Raw genomic sequence first — 19658 nt, 5'->3', positions numbered from 1 at the left:
CACAAAATCTTTGCCCATGTCTATGTCCTGAATTGTATTGCCTAGATTTTCTTCTAGGGTTTTTACGGTTTTGGGTTTTACATTTAAGTCTTTAATCCATCTTGAGTTAATTTTTGTATAAGGTGTAAGGAAGGGGTCCAGTTTCAATTTTCTGTATATGGTTAGCCAGTTTTCCCACCATCATTTATTAAATAGGAAATCCTTTCCCCATTGCATGTTTCTGTCAGGTATGTCAAAGATCAGATGGTTGCAGATGTGTGTTGTTATTTCTGAGGTCTCTATTCTGTTCTGTTGGTCTATATGTCTGTTTTGGTACCAGTACCACGCTGTTTTGTTTACTGTAGCCTCATAGTGTAGTTTGAAGTCAGGTAGCATGATGCCTCCAGCTTTGTTATTTTTGCTTAGGATTGACTTGGCTCTATGGGCTCTTTTTTGGTTCCATATACATTTTAAAGTATTTTTTTCTAATTCTGTGAAGAATCTCAGTGGTAGTTTGATGGGAATAGCACTGAATCTATACATTACTTTGGGCAGTGATATGGTTTGGCTGTGCCTTGACTCAAATCTCAACTTGAATTGTATCTCCCAGAATTCCCAAGTGTTGTAGGAGGGACCGGGGGGGGGAGGTAATTGAATCATGGGGGCCAGTCTTTCCCATGCTATTCTTGTGATAGTAAATAAGTCTCATGAGAGCTAATGGGTTTATCAGGGGTTTCCACTTTTGCTTCTTCCCCCTTTTTCTCTTGCCACCACCATGTCAGAAGTGTCTTTTGCCTCCCCCCATGATTCTGAGGCCTCCCCAGCCATGTGGAGGTGTAAGTCCAATTAAACTTCTTTTTCTTCCCAGTCTTGGGAATGCCTTTATCAGCAGTGTGAAAACAGACTAATACAGTAAATTGTTACCAGTAGAGTAGGGCACTGCTGAAAAGCTACCTGAAAATGTGGAAGCGACTTTGGAACTGGGTAATAGGCAGAGGTTGGAACAGTTTGGAGGGATCAGAAGAAGACAGGAAAATGTGGGAAAGTTTGGAACTTCCTAGAGACTTGTTGAATGGCTTTGCCCAAAATGCTGATAGTAATATGGACAATAAAGTCCGGGCTGAGGTGGTCTCAGATGGACATGAGGAACTTTTTGTGAACTGGAGCAAAAGTGACTCTTGTTATATTTTAGCAAAGAGACTGGTGGCATTTTGCTCCTGCCCTAGAGATTTGTGGAATTTTAAACTTGAGAGAGATGATTTAGGGTATCCGATGGAAAAAAATCCTAAGCAGCAAAGCACTCAAGAAGTGACTTGGGTGCTGTTAAAAGCATTTAGTTTTAAAAGGGAAACAGAGAATAAGAGTTTGGAAAATTTGCAGCCTGACAATGTGATAGAAAAGAAAAACCCATTTTCTGGGGAGAAATTCAAGCCAGCTGCAGAAATTTGCATAAGTGACGAGGAGCCTAATGTTAATCCCCAAGACCATGGGAAATCATCTCCAGGCCATGTCAAAGACCTTCACAGCAGCCCCTCCCATCACAGGCCTGGAGGTCTAGGAGGAAAAAGCAGTTTAGTGGGCTGGGCCCAGGGTCCCTCTGCTGTGTGCAGCCTAGGGTCTTGGTGCCTTGTGTCCCAGCTGCTCCAGCTGTGGTTGAAAGGCGACAATCTACAGCTCAGGCTGTGGCTTCAGAGGGTGCAAGACCCAAGCCTTGGCAGCTTCTATGTGGTGTTGAGCCTGCAGGTGCACAGAAGTCAAGAACTGAGGTTTGGGAACCTCTGCCTAGATTTCAGAAGATGTATGGAAACGCCTGGATTCCCAGGCAAAATTTTGCTGCAGGGGCAGGGTCATCATGGAGAACCTCTGTTAGGGAAATGGAGGAGGAAAATGTGGGATCAGAACCCCCACACAGAGTCTCTACTGGGACTTTGCCTAGTGGAGCTGTGAGTAGAGGGCCACCTTTCTCCAGACCCCAGAATTGTAGATCCACTGACAGCTTGCATTGTGCACCTGGAAAAGTCACAGACACTCAATGCCAGCCAGGGAAATCAGCCAGGAGGGAGACTATACCCTGCAAAGCCACAGGAGTGGAGCTGCCCAAGACCATGGGAACCCACCTTTTGCATCAGTGTGACTTGGATGTGAGACCTGAAGTCAAAGGAGATTGCTTTGAAGCTTAAAAATTTGATGGCCCCGCTGGATTTTGGACTTGCTTGGGCCCTGTAGCCTCTTTGCTTTGGCCAATTTCTCCCATTTGGAATGGCTGTATTTTCCCAATACCTGTACCCCCATTGTATCTAGGAAGTAACTAGCTTGCTTTTGATTTTACAGGCTCATAGGCAGAAGCAGCTTGCCTTGTCTCAGATGAGACTTTGGACTGTGGACTCTTGGGTTAATGCTGAAATGGGACTGTTGGGAAGGGATGATTGGTTTTGAAATGTGAAGACATAAGATTTGGAGGGGCCAGGGGTGGAATGATATGGTTTGTCTGTGCCACCACCCAAATCTCAACTTGAATTGTTTGATTCAAGGCCTCATGTATTGTACTGTATGATTCGGAGGCCTCCCCAGCCATGTGGAAATGTAAGCTCAATTAAACTTCTTTTTCTTCCCAGTCTCGGGTATGTCTTTATCAGCAGCATGAAAATGGACTAATTCAGGCAGTAGGGCCATTTTCATGATATTGATTCTCCCTATCCATGAGGATGGAATGCTCCTTAATTTGTTTGTGTCTTATTTCCTTGAGCAGTGGTTTGTAATTCTCCTTGAAGAGGTCCTTCATGTCCCTTGTTAGCTGTATTGCTAGGTTTATTCTCTTTGTAGCAATTGTGAATGTGAGTTCATTCATTATTTGGCTGTATGCTTGTCTATTGTGGGTATATAGGAATGCTTGCTTTTTGTACATTGATTTTATATCCTGAGATTTTGCTGAAGTTGCTGATCAGCTTAAGGAGCTTTTGGGCTGAGATGATGGGGTTTTCTAAATATAGGATCATGTCGCCTGCAAACAGAGACAATTTGATTTCCTCTCTTCCTATTTGAATACCATTTATTTCTTTCTCTTGCCTGATTGCCCTGGCTAGAACTTCCAATACTTGTTGAATAGGAGTGGTGAGAGAGGGCATCCTTGTCTTGTGCCCATTTGCAAAGGGAATGCTTCCAGCTTTTGCCCATTCAGTTATGATATTGGCTGTGGGTGTCATAGTTCTTATTATTTTGAGATATGTTCCATCAATACCTAGTTCATCGAGAATTAACAGGAAGGGATGTTGAATTTTATTGAAGGCCCTTTTCTGCATCTGAGATAATCATGTGTGGTTTTTGTCATTGGTCCTGTTTATGTGATGGATTATGTTTACTGATTTGCCTATGTTAAAGCAGCCTTGCATCCCAGGGATGAAGCCGACTTGATTGTGGTGGATAAGCTTTTTGATGTGCTGCTGGATTCAGTTTGCCAGTATTTTTTTGAGGATTTTTGCATCAATGTTCATCAGGAATATTGGCCTGAAGTTTTCTTCTTCTTCTTTTTTTTTTCTGCAAGTTTTGGTATCAGGATGATGTTGGCCTCATAAAATGAGTTAGGAAGGAGTCCCTCATTTTCACGTGTTCAGAATAGTTTCAGAAGGGTACCAGCTCCTCTTTGTGCCTCTGGTAAATTTGGCTATGTATCCATTTGGTCCTGGGCTTTTTTTGGTTGGTAGGCTATTGATTAATGCCTCAATTTCAGAAATCATTATTGGTCTATTCAAGGATTCAGCTTCTTCCTGGTTTAGTTTTGGGAGGGTGTATGTGTCCAGGAATTTATCCATTTCTTCTAGATTTTCTAGTTATTTGCACAGAGGTGTTTATAGTATTCTCTGATGGTAGTTGGTATTTCTGTGGTGTCAGTGGTGATATCCCCTTTATCATTTTTTATTGTGTCTATTTGATTCTTCTCTTCTACTTTATTAGTCTAGCTTGTGGTCTATTTTATTATTTTTTTTTTCAAAAAAACCAGCTCCTGTATTCATTGATTTTTTTGAAGGTTTTTTGTTTGTGTCTTTCTCTCTTTCAATTCTGCTCTGGTCTTAGTTATTTCTTGTCTTCTGCTAGCTTTTGGATTTATTTGCTCTTGCTTCTCTAGTTCTTTTAGTAGTGATGTTAGGGTGTCTATTTGAGATCTTTCTAGCTTTCTGATGTGGGCATTTAGTGCTGTAAATTTCCCTCTTAACATTGCTTTAGCTGCATCCTAGGAATTCTGGTACGTTGTCTCTTTGTTCTCATTGGTTTCAAAGAACTTTTTGACTTCTGCCTTCATTTCATTATTTACCCAGGAGTCATTCACTTGGTTAATTTCCATGTAGTTGTGTGATTTTGAGTGAGTTTCTTAATCCTGAGTTCTAATTTGGATTTTTTCTTCTTTTGGCTATTATGAATAATGCTGCTACGAATACTCATGTACAAGTTTTCATAAAGACATATGTTTTCATTTCTCTTTGGGATCCATCTAGACGTGAAGTTGCTGGATCATATGGCAACTCTATGTTTAACTTTCTGAGGAGTAGCCAGACTGTTTTCCGGTAGCTGCATCATTTCACATTCCTACCAGCAACATATGAGTGTTCCAAGTTCTCCACATCCTTGCTAACATTTGTTATTTGCCAGTTTAAAAACATTATTGCCATCCTTGTGGGTGTGGAGTAGTGTCTCATGGTTTTGATTTGCATTTCTTAATGGCAAATGATGTTGAGTATCTTTTCATGTGCTTATTGGCTATTTATGTATCTTTTTTGGAAAACTGTCTATTCAAATCATTTGATCATTTTAACATTAGGTTTTTTTTAGGTTTTTTTTATTATTGAGTTGTAAATATTTTTTATATATTCTTAATACAAGTCTCTTATCAGCTCTATGATTTAGAAATATTTTCTGCCATCCTGTGGATTGACTTCCCACTTTCTTGCAAATAGTTTTTAGCAAAATTATTTTATTGTTCGATATAACAATTTGTTAGTCAATAAACATTCCAAAATGTACTGTGATAAAACAGAACAGCAATGACACCTCTGTGTGTAGCTTCATGTTACACTTAGGAGTTTACAATGGGATAGCAGAGGGGAGAGTATTGCTTCATGTGCATGCTCATCTGCAGAATGTTCAGATGTTTAACTAAAGTATGAGCCTCCTATTTGTCTTGCATTTCACTGGACTTCATAGTTGAAACAGAGAAGACTTTGGAACTGGTGGTAGTTTTTCACTTACAGGAATTAAAACTCTTAAGCAAATATAGGAAGGAAAAGAGGCTACTGTGAATCATGCAGGCAATTCCCTTTGTGGATGTGCAATTGAACATGAGGCACATGGACAAAAAGCAAAAAACTCCGAGCTCATTGCAAATGTTCAATAAATGACAGCTGGGTGAATAAATGAATCAATGAGAGTGTGTGAGGTGAATGCCTTGGCATCCTAGGTTTCTACTTGTTGCAACATCATGACCTTGATTGTGCCTGTCTAGGTCACTGTGCACTGTCTAAGGTTTGTGTGTACTTGGGGAAGAAAAAATATTTCTAAGGCAATCTGGATTATCATAAATAAGTAAATTGCCCAACTATTATGCAGAATGAAAACTTTATTTTCTGAAAACTTCATTCTGGGCACTTAAAATTTTTGCCCTTTTATAAAATGAGCTGCTTGGTAGTTAATGCAAATTAAATACTTGCTTGATGTTCAATATCTAGAAATGGTGCAATTTAGGACAACCTAGGAGCAAGATGCTTAAAGCAGGTGTATGGTCTATGTGAGGTCTCATAGCCAGTTTAGAGACAAACTAGTGACACTGGTGCAGTTGGGATAACAGTGACTGAGATTATGTTAATTAGAAGGATCAAACAGTTATTTTCTGTGCATATTCTTAAGCATGACTCTTTCAATGAACAAAACCTCCACTGGTAATAAATAAGGAAAGTGGGCCTAGTACATTACATTTTGTCTTAGTCCATTTGGGCTGCTATTACAAAATACCATAGTCTGGGTGGCTTATAAACAACAAAAAATTATTTCTCCTAGTCTTAGAGGTTGGGAAGTTCAAGATCAAGGTGCCGTCATGACTGGGTTCTGGTGAAGGCCCTCTTCTGGGTTGCAGACTGATGACTTTTTGCTGTGTCCTCACATGGTAGAAAGGGCAAGGCAGCTCTCTGAGGCCTCTTTTTTTTTTTTGAGACAGAGTCTCACTCTGTCACCCAGGCTGGAGTGCAGTGGCGCAATCTGAGCTCACTGCAAGCTCTGCCTCCTGTTCACGCCATTCTCCTGCCTCAGCCTCCCAAGTAGCTGGGACTACAGGCATCCACCACCACACCTGGCTAATTTTTTGTATTTTTTAGTAGAGACAGGGTTTCACCGTCTTAGCCAGGATAGTCTCAATCTCCTGAGCTCATGATTTACCATATGTATTTATGGTATACAATGTGGTGTTTTCATATATGTATACATTGTGGAATGGTTAAACCAAGCTATTAACATATGAATCACCTCACATGCTTATCATTTTTTTGTTGTGAGAACATTTAAAATCTACACTTAGCAATTTTCAAGTGTACATTATTATTAACTACAGTCACTGTGCTGTATAATAGATCTCCAGAACTTAATTCCTCCTAACTGAAACTTTGTGCCCTTCAATCAACATTTCCCCATTCCACACCCCCTTCTCCAGCTCCTGGCAACCACTGTTTTACTCTCTGCTTTCATGAGTTTGACTTTTTTAGATTCCACACAAAAGTGAGATCACGCAGTGTTTGTCTTTCTGTGCCTGGCTTATTTCACTTAGCATAACTGTTTCAGGTCTATCTATATTATAACAAATTACAGGTTTCCCTTCTTTTTAAAGGCTGAATAGTATTCCTTTGTATATATATCTATCACATTTTCTTTATCCATTTATCCATTCATGAACATTTAGGTTGAGTCCAAATCTTGGCAATTTTGAATAATGCTGCAGTGAATGTGAGAGTGCAGATATCTCTTTGATATCCTGGTTTAATTTCCTTTGGATGCATAGCCAGAAGTGGAATTGCTGGATAATATAGGAGTTCTATTTTTAATTTTTTTGGGGAACTTTCTTAATGTTTTCCATAATGGCTGTACTAATTTACATTTCCACCAACAGTATACAAGGGTTTTCTTTTTCCACAAACTTCCTAACATTTGTTATATTTGGTCTTTTTGATAATAGCCTGAGTCCTCTCAGGTAAGGGCACTAATCCCATTCAAGAAGACTCAGTCTTCATGACCTAATCACCTCCCAAAGGCCCCACCTTTTAAGACCATCACGTTGATCATTAGGTTTCAACACACAAATTTTGGAGAGAGACAAAATATTCAGGGCATAACAATTCATTTCTTGAATCTTTTATGTTCTATAGTAAATGGCCCTTGGAACATAGGATTCAGAGAATAGCACCTTATCAACATCTCTTATAAAAATCATCTCTTACTTTTAGTGAATCTTAGTTAACACATGCTTATTATACTAAAATACATTGAGACATTGATGTTACAATGTAAGAATAATTGTCTTTTGGGGGCTTGGTATCCTTTTGAAACTGATATGAGCAAGATGAATAAAAGGGTGATACTTAATTTGCCTTTAAGATCATTTCTTACCACTTTTCTCAAAACATGGGATTGCATTCTATACAGGTCATGGTTCTGTTGATTGCTTGATCATAGACCAAGCTATGATAAGGGTGCAACCTGATCATTAGCCATCTAACCAGTTGATGGCATTCCTGAGTATGCCTGATGTAGAACAAAAGAATTCTAGCTCTTTAATTCTGTAGGAGCTTTGCTCTGAAAATATCTTGGGACAGAAAGACATGAGGCCAAGACTAAGACAAAAATTGAGGAAGTAATAGGCCTTTTGGGCAAATTAATGCTGGCATGCCAATTAACTGAATTTGTCTTTCCTGATTTTAATAGATCCTGAAGAACCGTTCCAGCAGTGTTTGTTGCTGTTGTACTAAACCAGAGCCATTAAGATATCAGGCCAATAAAATGTCACCTGATTAATTTGCCTGGATGTGGCTATGAACCTATTTGAAATCAAAGAATTATTGCATTGAATTGAATTGTATACATTAGGAGATTTAAAATATTATTACTAAAATACCTTTTTATTATGTATAGTTTGTTGTATAATGTTTTCAATTTATCACATTATATTAGCCTTCTTTTTTGTGATTGCAGGAAAGAGTCATGTCAGTTAAGAAAGGCATAGCTTTCAATTTTTCAATTGAAAATTTGAATTGAAACCTACAAATTTTTCAATTGAAACCTTCAGTTTTTGGAACTGTTTACTGCAAAATAGTCTTAGTGTTATAGTTGCATTTAGATGTGTATGAAAACACATCTGAATATTAGCTGCATTATACAATATTCATAAGGAAATAGTCTTTTTTTCTTCTCAGGTAATATGGGCTAAAATATAGTGCTGCATATAAAAAAATCAGAATGGTAGCAGAAAAAGGCTTGGAGTTCATGGTTAATTTATTCCTGAAAATAGTTTTTTTCCCCATTTTCAACTGAGATAAAGATAATATAAAATGAAATGCTCAGATGTTACATGTACCATTTAATCCTCTTTGATGAATGCATATCAATAAACAGAACATTTCCATCTTGGAAAATTCCTTTTACCTTTCCCAGTCAACCTCCCCAGGAGCAAAAACTGATTTATATCCCCGAAGATTAGTTTTGCTTATTCTAGAATTCATATACTCTAGCTGGAATCATACAGATATACTTTTTTTGTGTGTTTGCTTATTTCATTAAGCATAATAATTTCATAATGTTTCCTTTTTTATTTTTTGAGATAAATTCTTGCTCTGTTACCCAGCCTTGAGTGCAGTGGCATGATCTCAGCTCACTGCAACCTCCACCTACCTCCTGGGTTCAAGTGATTCTCGTGCTTCAGCCTCCCAAGTAGCTGAGATTACAGGCATGTGCCACCACATCTGGGTAATGTTTGTATTTTTAGGAAAGACAGGGTTTCACCATGTTGGCCAGGCTGGTCTCGAATTCCTGGCCTCAAGTAATCCACCTGCCTCAGCCTCCCAAAATGCTGGGATTACAGGTATGAACAACTGCACCTGGCTTATCCATGTTTTAATGCATGTCAGTAATTCATGCCATTTCATTGCTAAGAAGTATCCCATTATATGAGTGTACCATAGTTGTTGTATGTTCTGCCACATTACTAAATTTGTTTATTACTTTTAGTAGTATTCTTGTAAATTCTTTAGAATTTTTGTCAAACACAACCATGTCATCTGAAAATAAAGACAGTTTATATCTATCTTTTGAATCTTTCTGCCTGTTTTTTTTTCTTACCTTATTGCACTATCTGGGACCTCTAGTTCAATATTGAATAGACGGGTCGAGAGCAGGGATCCTTGCCTTGTACATTTACTTGGTGACGATCATCTGGGTTGTTTCCAGTTTTTGGCTATTATTAATAAAGCTGCTGTGAACATTCATGTACAAGTGATTTTGTGCATATATGCTTTCATTTCTCTTGGGTAAATAGGAGTGGAACAGTTAGAAGGAAAATATGAGTCCTGGATCATCGGGTAAATTTATGTTTAACATTTTAAGAAAACGGCAAGTGATTTTTTAAAGTTGTTGTAGCATTTTATACTTCACTAGCAATGAATGAGAGTTCCAGTTGCTCCATGTCCTTTTCAACATTTGGCACTTTTTTTTTCATTTTAGCCAATCTGATGAGCATGAAGTGATATCTCATTATGGTTTTAACTTGAATTTCTCTGATGACAAATGATATTGAACACTTTTTCTACAAATTATTGGCCACACAACATTTACATATCTTTTTTTGTGATGTGTTTAAGTGTTTTAATTTTTAAATTGGGTTGTTTGTCTTTTTGTTAGGTGATACAGATGTTCTTTGTATATTCTGCTATAAATACTTTGTCAGTTTTATGTATTATGAATATTGTATCGCACAGACATGGCTTTATATTTATTTCTTGACGAAGTTTTGTGAAGAGCAAAACTTCTTAGGTTTTAGATATAATTTAGATAAATTATAAAAATAAATTCTTTTTCTATTATGATTTGTAATTTCTGTGCACTTGCCAAGAAACCTGCGCCTAACCCAAGCTTTTAAAGTTTTTCTCCTATATTTTCTTCTAATAGCTTTATTGTTGTAGTGTTTGTATATGAGTCCATTATCAATCTTTGATTTGGAGTATGGTGTGAAGTAGGTATCAAAATTATTTTATTCCAAAGGGAAATTCAGTTGTTCCGTACCATTTATTAAAGAGGGGTTCCTTTACCCCTCTTTATTATTAGCTATACTGCTCTTACTAAAACCAAGGCTCTATTTCTGTACTATCTATTCAGTTCCATTTATCTCCTTTTTCCAGTGCTATTTTCCTCTTGATTACAGTTGCTTTATAAGAAGTCTTAAAGTCAGGTAGCATAAGTTCTCCATTTTTCTTCTTTTTTTCCCACTAAAGGGAATTTTAGCTATTTTCATCCTTTGTCTCTTCAGATAAATTTTAAAATTATCTCACCAATTAAAAAAACTTCTATAGATTTTAATTGTTATTTCATTGAATCTGAAGATAAGTTTGGGGAGAACTGACATTAATATTGAGTCTTCTGCTTCATGAACATAGTATTTATTCATTTATTTAGGTTTTCTCTAGTTTCTGTCAGTAACGTTTTATAGCTAAGTATATTTCTAAATAGTTGATGCTTTTGTAAAGTTTAAAATTTAATTTATTTATTTTGAGAGGGAATCTCACTGCATCCAGGTTGGAGTACAGTGGTTTGATCTTGGCTCACTGTAACCTCTGCCTCCTGGGTTAAAGGTTTCTCCTGCCTCAGCCTCCCTAGTAGCTGGGAGTACAGGCATGCACCATCATACCTGGCTAATTTTTTTATTTTTAGTAGAGATGGGGTTTCATTATGTTGGCCAGGCTGGTCTCAAACTCCTGACCTCAAGTGACCCACTCACTTCGGCCTCCCAAAGTGCTGGGATTACAGGCATGAGCTACTGGTGCCCAGCTTAAAATTTCATTTCATTTTCAAATGGTTAATTACTAGTATATAGGTAAATAAATGTAGTTATTTTTGGATAGTGACTTTATGTTGTGCCACATTACTAAATTTGTTTATTACTTTTAGCTGTATTCTTGTAAATTATTTATAATTTTTGTCAAACACAACCATGTCATCTGAGAATAAAGACAGTTTATATCTATCTTTTGAATCTTTCTGCCTGTTTTTTTTTTTTCCTTACCTTATTGCACCATCTGGGACCTCTAGTTCAATATTGAATAGATGGGTCGAGAGCAGAGATCCTTGCCTTGTTTTGATCTAAGGAAAAAAATTATTACTTTAGTGTTACGTATAATATTATCTATAGGCTTTACTTAGATGCCGCAATGGTTTGAATGTTTTGTGTCTCTTCAAAATTTATGTTGAAACTCAATCCCTAATGCAATAGTATTAAGAGGTGGAGTCTTTGGGGGAAGTGATTAAGTCATGAGCTCTCATGAATGGATTATTACCCTTATTAAAGGGCTTGAGAGAACTACCTATGCCCTTTTTTTTGGCCCTTCTGTCCCTTTTGCTATGTGAGTAGACAAAGTATGCCCCCTCCACAGGATGCAGCAACCAGTTGCCATATTGGAAGCAGATAACAGGCCCTCACCAAACACCAAACCTTCTTACTTAAATTAGAATCAGAAGAAACTGATTTTATATCTTCATTTTTTTTTTTTGAGACAGAGTCTCACTCTGTCACCCAGGCTGGAGTGCAGTGGCACAATCTCCGCTCACTGCCACTTCTGCCTCCCAGGTTCAAGCGATTCTCCTGCCTCAGCCTCCCAAGTAGCTGGGATTACAGGCACCCACCACCACACCCAGCTAATTTTTTGTATTTTTAGTAGAGATGGGGTTTCACCATCTTGGCCAGGCTGGTCTTGAATTCCTGACCTCGTGATCCACCTGCCTCGGCCTCCCAAAGTGCTGGGATTATAGATGTGAGCCAGCGCGTCCGGCCTATATCTTTACTCTTTTAAAAAGCATAGACATTTAAAGCTATAAATTTCCCTCCAAGAAGTAGTTTTGCTGTATCATAAAAATTTTAACATGTTCTGTTTTCAGTGAGTTCAAAATATTTTCTAATTTCTTTTGTGCTTTATTTTTGAGCCATGTGTTATTTATTAGTGTATTTTAAGTTTCAAACATTTGGGAGATTTTCTAGGTTTCTTATTGATTTCTAATTTAATACCATTGTAATCAGAGGACATATTCTGTATAATTTCAAACCTTTTAAATTTACTGAGGCCTGTTATGTGGCCCATTACACGGTCTATTTTGGTGACTGTTTCATGTGCATTCTGTTCTTCTTGGATGCAGTGTTCCATAAAAGTTAGGGCAATTTAATTGGTAATATTGTTCTGATATTCTGTATCTTTACTGATTTCTTTTTGGTTCACTGGTTCTTTCTATTAATAGGAGAGAGACATTAAATTTTCCAACTATGAACGAGAACTTGTCTATGGTTTCCTTTAGTTTTACCATTTTTTTGCCTTATATTTTTGGGAGCTTTAATATTAAATACAAGCACATTTAGTATTTTTGCATTACTTTGATTAATTCGCCCTTTTGTTAGGTCTTTCTGTCTCTGATAATATTTACTTTAAATACCCACCTGGATCCTTACTTCTTATTTATATGGCCACATTAGCTTTATTATGCATAGTCATGGGAGGGCAAATAGTTTTTTTCCTTTTAAAATTTCAACCTATGTATATCTTTATTTTGAAATTGTGGGGTGGAGCCAAGATGGCCGAACAGGAACAGCTCCAATCTACAGCTCCCAGCATGAGTGATGCAGAAGACAAGTGATTTCTGCATTTCCAACTGAGGTACCAGGTTCATCTCACTGGGGAGTGTCAAAAAGTGGGTGCAGGACAGTGGGTGCAGTGCACTGAACATGAGTCGAAGCAGGGTGAGGCATCGCCTCACCCAGGAAGCGCAAGGGGTCAGGGAATTCCCTTTCCTAGTCAAAGAAAGGGGTGACATACAGCACCTGGAAAATCGGGTCACTCCCACCCTAATACTGCGCTTTTCCAACGGTCTTAGAAAACGGCACACCAGAAGATTATATCCTGTGCCTGGCTTGGAGGGTCCTATTCCCACGGAGCCTCACTCATTGCTAGCACAGCAGTCTGAGATCAAACTGTAAGGCGGCAGCCAGGCTGGGGGAGAGGCGCCCACAATTGCTGAGGCTTGAGTAGGTAAACAAAGTGGCTGGGAGGCTCGAACTGCGTGGAGCCCACCACAGCTCAAGGAGGCCTGCCTCTGTAGACTCCACCTCTGGGGGCAGGGCATAGCCAAACAAAAGGCAGCAGAATCCTCTGCAGACTTAAATGTCCCTGTCTGACAGCTTTGAAGAGAGTAGTGGTTCTCCCAGCATGCAGCTGGAGATCTGAGAACGGACAGACTGCTGCCTCAAGTGGGTCCCTGACTCCTGAGTAGCCTACTGGGAGACACCCCCTAGTAGGGGCAGACTGACACCTCACACGGCCAGGTACTCCTCTGAAACAAAACTTCCAGAGGAATGATCAGGCAGCAACATCTGCTGTTCACCAATATCTGCTCTTCTGCAGCCTCTGCTGCTGATACCCAGGCAAACAGCGTCTGGAGTGGACCTCCAGCAAACTCCAACAGACCTGCAGCTGAGGGTCCCGGCTGTCAGAAAGAAAACTAACAAACAGAAAGGACATCCACACCAAAACCCCATCTGTACGTCACCATCATCAAAGATCAAAGGTAGATAAAACCGCAAAGATGGGGAAAAAACAGAGCAGAAAAACTGGAAACTCTAAAAATCAGAGTGCTTCTCCTCCTCCAAAGGAATGCAGCTCCTCACCAGCAATGGAACAAAGCTGGGCGGAGAATGACTTTGACAAGTTGAGAGAAGAAGACTTCAGACAATCAAACTACTCAGAGCTAAAGAAGGAAGTTCTAACCAATGGCAGAGAGTTAAAAACCTTCAAAAAAAATTAAGACGAATGGCTAACTAGAATAACAGAGACAGAGAAGTCCTTAAAGGACCTGATGGAGCTGAAAACCATGGCACGAGAACTACGTGTCGAATGCACAAGCCTCAGTAGCTGATGCAATCAACTGGAAGAAAGGGTATCAGCGATGGAAGATCAAATGAATGAAATGAAGAGAGAAGAGAAGTTTAGAGAAAAAAGAATAAAAAGAAACGAACAAAGCCTCCAAGAAATATGGGACTATGGAAAAGACCAAATCTATGTCTGATTGGTGTACCTGAAAGTGACGGGGAGAATGGAACCAAGTTGGAAAACACTCTGTAGGATATTATCCAGGAAAACTTCCCCAATCTAGCAAGGCAGGCCAACATTCGGATTCAGGAAATACATAGAATACCACAAAGATACTCCTCGAGAAGAGCAACTCCAAGACACATAATTGTCAGATTCACCAAAGTTGAAATGAAGGAAAAAATGTTAAGGGCAGCCAGAGAGAAAGGTCGGGTAACACATAAAGGGAATCCCATCAGACTAACAGCTGATCTCTCGGCAGAAACTCTACAAGCCAGAAGAGAGTGGGGGCCAATATTCAACATTCTTAAAGAAAAGAATTTTCAACCCAGAATTTCATATCCAGCCAAACTAAGCTTCATAAGTGAAGGAGAAATAAAATACTTTACACACAAGCAAATGCTGAGAGATTTTGTCACCACCAGGCCTGCCCTAAAAGAGCTCCTGAAGGAAGCACTAAACATGGAAAGGAACAACCGGTACCAGCCACTGCAAAAACATGCCAAATTGTAAAGACCATTGAGGCTAGGAAGAAACTGCATCAACTAACAAGCAAAATAACCCGCTAACATCACAATGACAGGATCAAATTCACACATAACAATATTAACCTTAAATGTAAATGGGCTAAATGCTCCAATTAAAAGACACAGACTGGCAAACTGGATAAAGAGTCAAGATCCATCAGTGTGCTGTATTCAGGAAACCCATCTCATGTGCAGAGACACACATAGGCTCAAAATAAAGGGATGGAGGAAGATCTACCAAGCAAATGAAAAGAAAAAAAGGCAGGGGTTGCAATCCTAGTCTCTGATAAAACAGACTTTAAACCAACAAAGATCAAAAGAGACAAAGAAGGCCATTACATAATGGTAAAGGGATCAATTCAACAAGAAGAGCTAACTATCCTAAATATATATGCACCCAATACAGAAGTACCCAGATTCATAAAGCAAGTCCTTAGAGACCTAAAAAGAGACTTAGATTCCCACACAATAATAATGGGAGACTTTAACACCCCACTGTCAACATTAGACAGATCGACAAGACAGAAAGTTAACAAGGATATCCAGGAATTGAACTCAGCTCTGCACCAAGCGGACCTAATAGACATCTACAGAACTCTCCACCCCAAATCAACAGAATATACATTCTTTTCAGCACCACACCACACCTATTCCAAAATTGACCACATAGTTGGAAGTAAAGCACTCCTCAGCAAATGGAAAAGAATAGAAATTATAACAAACTGTCTCTCAGACCACAGTGCAATCAAACTAGAACTCAGGATTAAGAAACTCACTCAAAACCACTCAACTACATGGAAACTGAACAACCTGCTCCTGAATGACTACTGGGTACATAACGAAATGAAGGCAGAAATAAAGATGTTCTTTGAAACCAACGAGAACAAAGACACAACACACCAGAATCTCTGGGACACATTTAAAGCAGTGTGTAGAGGGGAATTTATAGCACTAAATGCCCACAACAGAAAGCAGGAAAGATCTAAAATTGACACCCTAACATCACAATTAAAAGAACTAGAGAAGCAAGATCAAACACATTCAAAAGCTAGCAGAAGGCAAGAAATAACTAAGATCAGAGCAGAACTGAAGGAAATAGAGACACAAAAAACCCTTCAAAAAATCAATGAATCCAGGAGCTGGTTTTTTGAAAAGATCAACAAAATTGATAGACCGCTAGCAAGACTAATAAAGAAGAAAAGAGAGAAGGATCAAATAGAGGCAATAAAAAGTGATAAAGGGATATCACCACCGATCCCACAGAAATACAAACTACCATCAGAGAATACTATAAATACCTCTATGCAAATAAACTAGAAAGTCTAGAAGAAGTGGATAAATTTCTGGACACATACACCCTCCCAAGACTAAACCGGGAAGAAATTGAATCTCTGAATAGACCAATTAGAGCCTCTGAAATTGAGGCAATAATTAATAGCTTACCAACCAAAAAAAGTCCAGGACCAGATACATTCACAGCCGAATTCTACCAGAGGTACAAGGAGGAGCTGGTACCATTCCTTCTGAAACTATTCCAATCAATAGAAAAAGAGGGAATCCTCCCTAACTCATTTTATGAGGCTAGCAACCTCCTGATACCAAAGCCTGACAGAGATACAAGAAAAAAAGAGAATTTCAGACCAATATCCCTGATGAACATCAATGCAAAAATCCTCAATAGAATACTGGCAAACCTAATCCAGCAGCACATCAAAAAGCTTATCCACCATGATCAAGTCGGCTTCATCCCTGGGATGCAAGGCTGGTTCAACATACACAAATCAATAAACGTAATCCAGCATATAAACAGAACCAAAGACAAAAACCACATGATTATCTCAATAGATGCAGAAAAGGCCTTTGACAAAATTCAACAACCGTTCATGCTAAAAACTCTCAATAAATTAGGTATTGGTGGGACGTATCTCAAAATAGTAAGAGCTATCTATGACAAACCCACAGCCAATATCATACTGAATGGATAAAAACTGGAAGCATTCCCTTTGAAAACGGGCACAAGACAGGGATGCCCTCTCTCACCACTCCTATTCAACATAGTGTTGGAAGTTCTGGTCAGGGCAATCAGGTAGGAGAAGGAAATAAAGGGTATTCAATTAGGAAAAGAGGAAGTCAAATTGTCCCTGTTTGCAGATGACATGACTGTATATCTAGAAAATCCCATTGTCTCAGCCCAAAATCTCCTTAAGCTGATAAGCAACTTCAGCAAAGTCTCAGGATACAAAATCAATGCGCAAAAATAACAAGCATTCTTATACACCAAGAACAGACAAACAGACAGCCAAATCATGAGTGAAATCCCATTCACAATTGCTTCAAAGAGAATAAAATACCTAGGAATCCAACTTACAAGGGACGTGAAGGACCTCTTTAAAGAGAACTACAAACCACTGCTCAATGAAATAAAAGAGGATACAAACAAATGGAAGAACATTCCATGCTCATGGGTAGGAAGAATCAATACTGTGAAAATGGCCATACTGCCCAAGGCAATTTATACATTCAATGCCATCCCCATCAAGCTACCAATGACTTTCTTCACAGATCTGGAAAAAACTATTTTAAAGTTCATATGGAACCAAAAAAGAGCCCACATTGCCAAGTCAATCCTAAGCCAAAAGAACAAAGCTGGAGGCATCACGCTACCTGACTTCAAACTGTACTACCAGCCTACAGTAACCAAAACAGCATGGTACTGGTACCAAAACAGAGATAAAGACCAATGGAACAGAAGAGAGCCCTCAGAAATAATGCTGCATATCTACAACTATCTGATCTTTGACAAACCTGACAAAAACAGGAAATGGGGAAAGGATTCCCTATTTAATAAATGGTGCTGGGAAAACTGACTAGCCATATGTAGAAAGCTGAAACTGGATCCCTTCCTTACACCTTATACAAAAATTAATTCAAGATGGGTTAAAGACTTCAATGTTAGATGTAAAACCATAAAAACCCTAGAAGAAAACCTAGGCAATACCATTCAGGACATAGGCATGGGCAAGGACTTCATGTCTAAAACACCAAAAGCAATGGCAACAAAAGCCAAAAAATTGACAAATGGCATCTAGTTAAAGAGCTTCTGCACAGAAAAAGAAACTGCCATCAGAGTGAACAGGCAACCTACAGAATGGGAGAAAATTTTTGCAATCTATTCATCTGACAAAGGGCTAATATCCAGAATCTACAATGAACTCAAACAAATTTACAAGAAAAAAACAAACAACCCCATCAAAAAGTGGGCGAAGGATATGAACAGACACTTCTCAAAAGAAGACATTTATGCAGCCAAAAGACACATGAAAAAATGCTCATCATCACTGGCCTTCAGAGAAATGCAAATCAAAACCACAATGAGATACCATCTCACACCAGTTAGAATTGAGATCATTAAAAAGTCAGGAAACAACAGGTGCTGGAGAGGATGTGGAGAAATAGGAACACTTTTACACTGTTGGTGGGAATGTAAACTAGTTCAACCATTGTGGAAGTCAGTGTGGCGATTCCTCAGGGATCTAGAACTAGAAATACCATTTGATCCAGCCATCCCATTACTGGGTATATACCCAAAGGATTAGAAAACATGCTGCTATGAAGACACATGCACCCATATGTTTATTGTGGCACTATTCACAATAGCAAAGAGTTGGAACAAAGCCAAATGTCCAACAATGATAGACTGGATTAAGAAAATGTGGCACATATACACCATGGAATACTATGCAGCCATAAAAAATGATGAGTTCATGTCCTTTGTAGGGACATGGATGAAGCTGGAAACCATCATTCTCAGCAAACTATCGCAAGGACAAAAAACCAAACACCGCATGTTCTCACTCATAGGTGGGAATTGAACAAAGAGAACCCGTGGACACAGGAAGGGGACCATCACACACCAGGGCCTGTTGTGGGGTCGGGAGGTGGGGAGGGATAGTATTAGGAGATATACCTAATGTTAAATGACGAGTTACTGGGTGTAGCCCACCAACATGGCACATGTATACATATGTAACTAAACTGCATGCTGTGCACACGTACCCTAAAACTTAAAGTATAATAAAAAAAATTCCAAAAAAAAAGATATTGTGCTTACTATAAAAAACATAATTGGGTCTTGAATTTTTATCCAGTCTGACAGTCTCTGTCTTTTAATTGTTATAATTAGAACTTTTACATTTAACACAATTGTTGACAAGTTTGGTTTCTATTTGTCCCATCTGCTTTTTATTTCTCTCTTCCTCCTCTTCTGCCACTTTTTGGGTGAATTAAATACTTTTTAGGGTTGCATTTAATATCTCATTTTTATTTGTACCTCTTTATATTATCTTAATAGTCTTGAAGATAGTTTTCAAAAAGAATTTATCATAGAAATTATTTTAAAATTTCTTCTGGATGTTTTCATACCTTTTTTGGGTGCTGCCACTTTCCTTCTTTTTTTTTGTATGTGAAGCTTGAAACCACATAAAGCGTTGTCCACAACAGAGACTCCAACAAGTTCTCCGTACATCCCCACATACCATCTCTTTTCAGTTTCAAAATGTGTATTCCCACTAAAGAAAGAAAAGAAGGGCTGACTTTGTGGGGTAGAAATATGGAGGTGGAAACAGAGCAGCAATAAATGAGAAATGGAGACTTTGCTATTTCTTCAGACTTATTTGCTGAGAAAAGTAAACCTTGTCAGCAGTTTCATATAGTGGATTAAAAACAGAAATAACTTCATATAGAGCTGTGCTCAAATGTGGAATTTTCTGCCTTTTAACTAGCTGAC

At 38.6% G+C, this 19658-nt stretch overlaps 1 long non-coding RNA gene across 3 annotated transcripts in view; it reads right to left on the bottom strand.

The window, feature by feature from the left end:
• The window catches only part of LOC105379172 (uncharacterized), a 48658-nt gene that overhangs the window by 20873 nt on the left and 8127 nt on the right, over window positions 1–19658 (bottom strand). For all 3 annotated transcript variants that reach the window (XR_007058928.1, XR_948781.2, XR_948780.1), the window contains exons 3-4: window positions 19295–19440; window positions 11282–11358 (exon numbers count right to left, since the gene is read on the bottom strand). This is a non-coding gene — a long non-coding RNA (uncharacterized LOC105379172). The remainder of the gene's footprint in view (window positions 1–11281; window positions 11359–19294; window positions 19441–19658) is intronic.

Source organism: Homo sapiens, chromosome 5, assembly GCF_000001405.40.
Source record: "Homo sapiens chromosome 5, GRCh38.p14 Primary Assembly".
Classification (NCBI taxonomy): domain Eukaryota; kingdom Metazoa; phylum Chordata; class Mammalia; order Primates; family Hominidae; genus Homo; species Homo sapiens.
The sequence above is the reverse complement of the archived record's forward strand: the minus strand, read 5'-3'. Positions and strand labels throughout refer to the sequence as shown.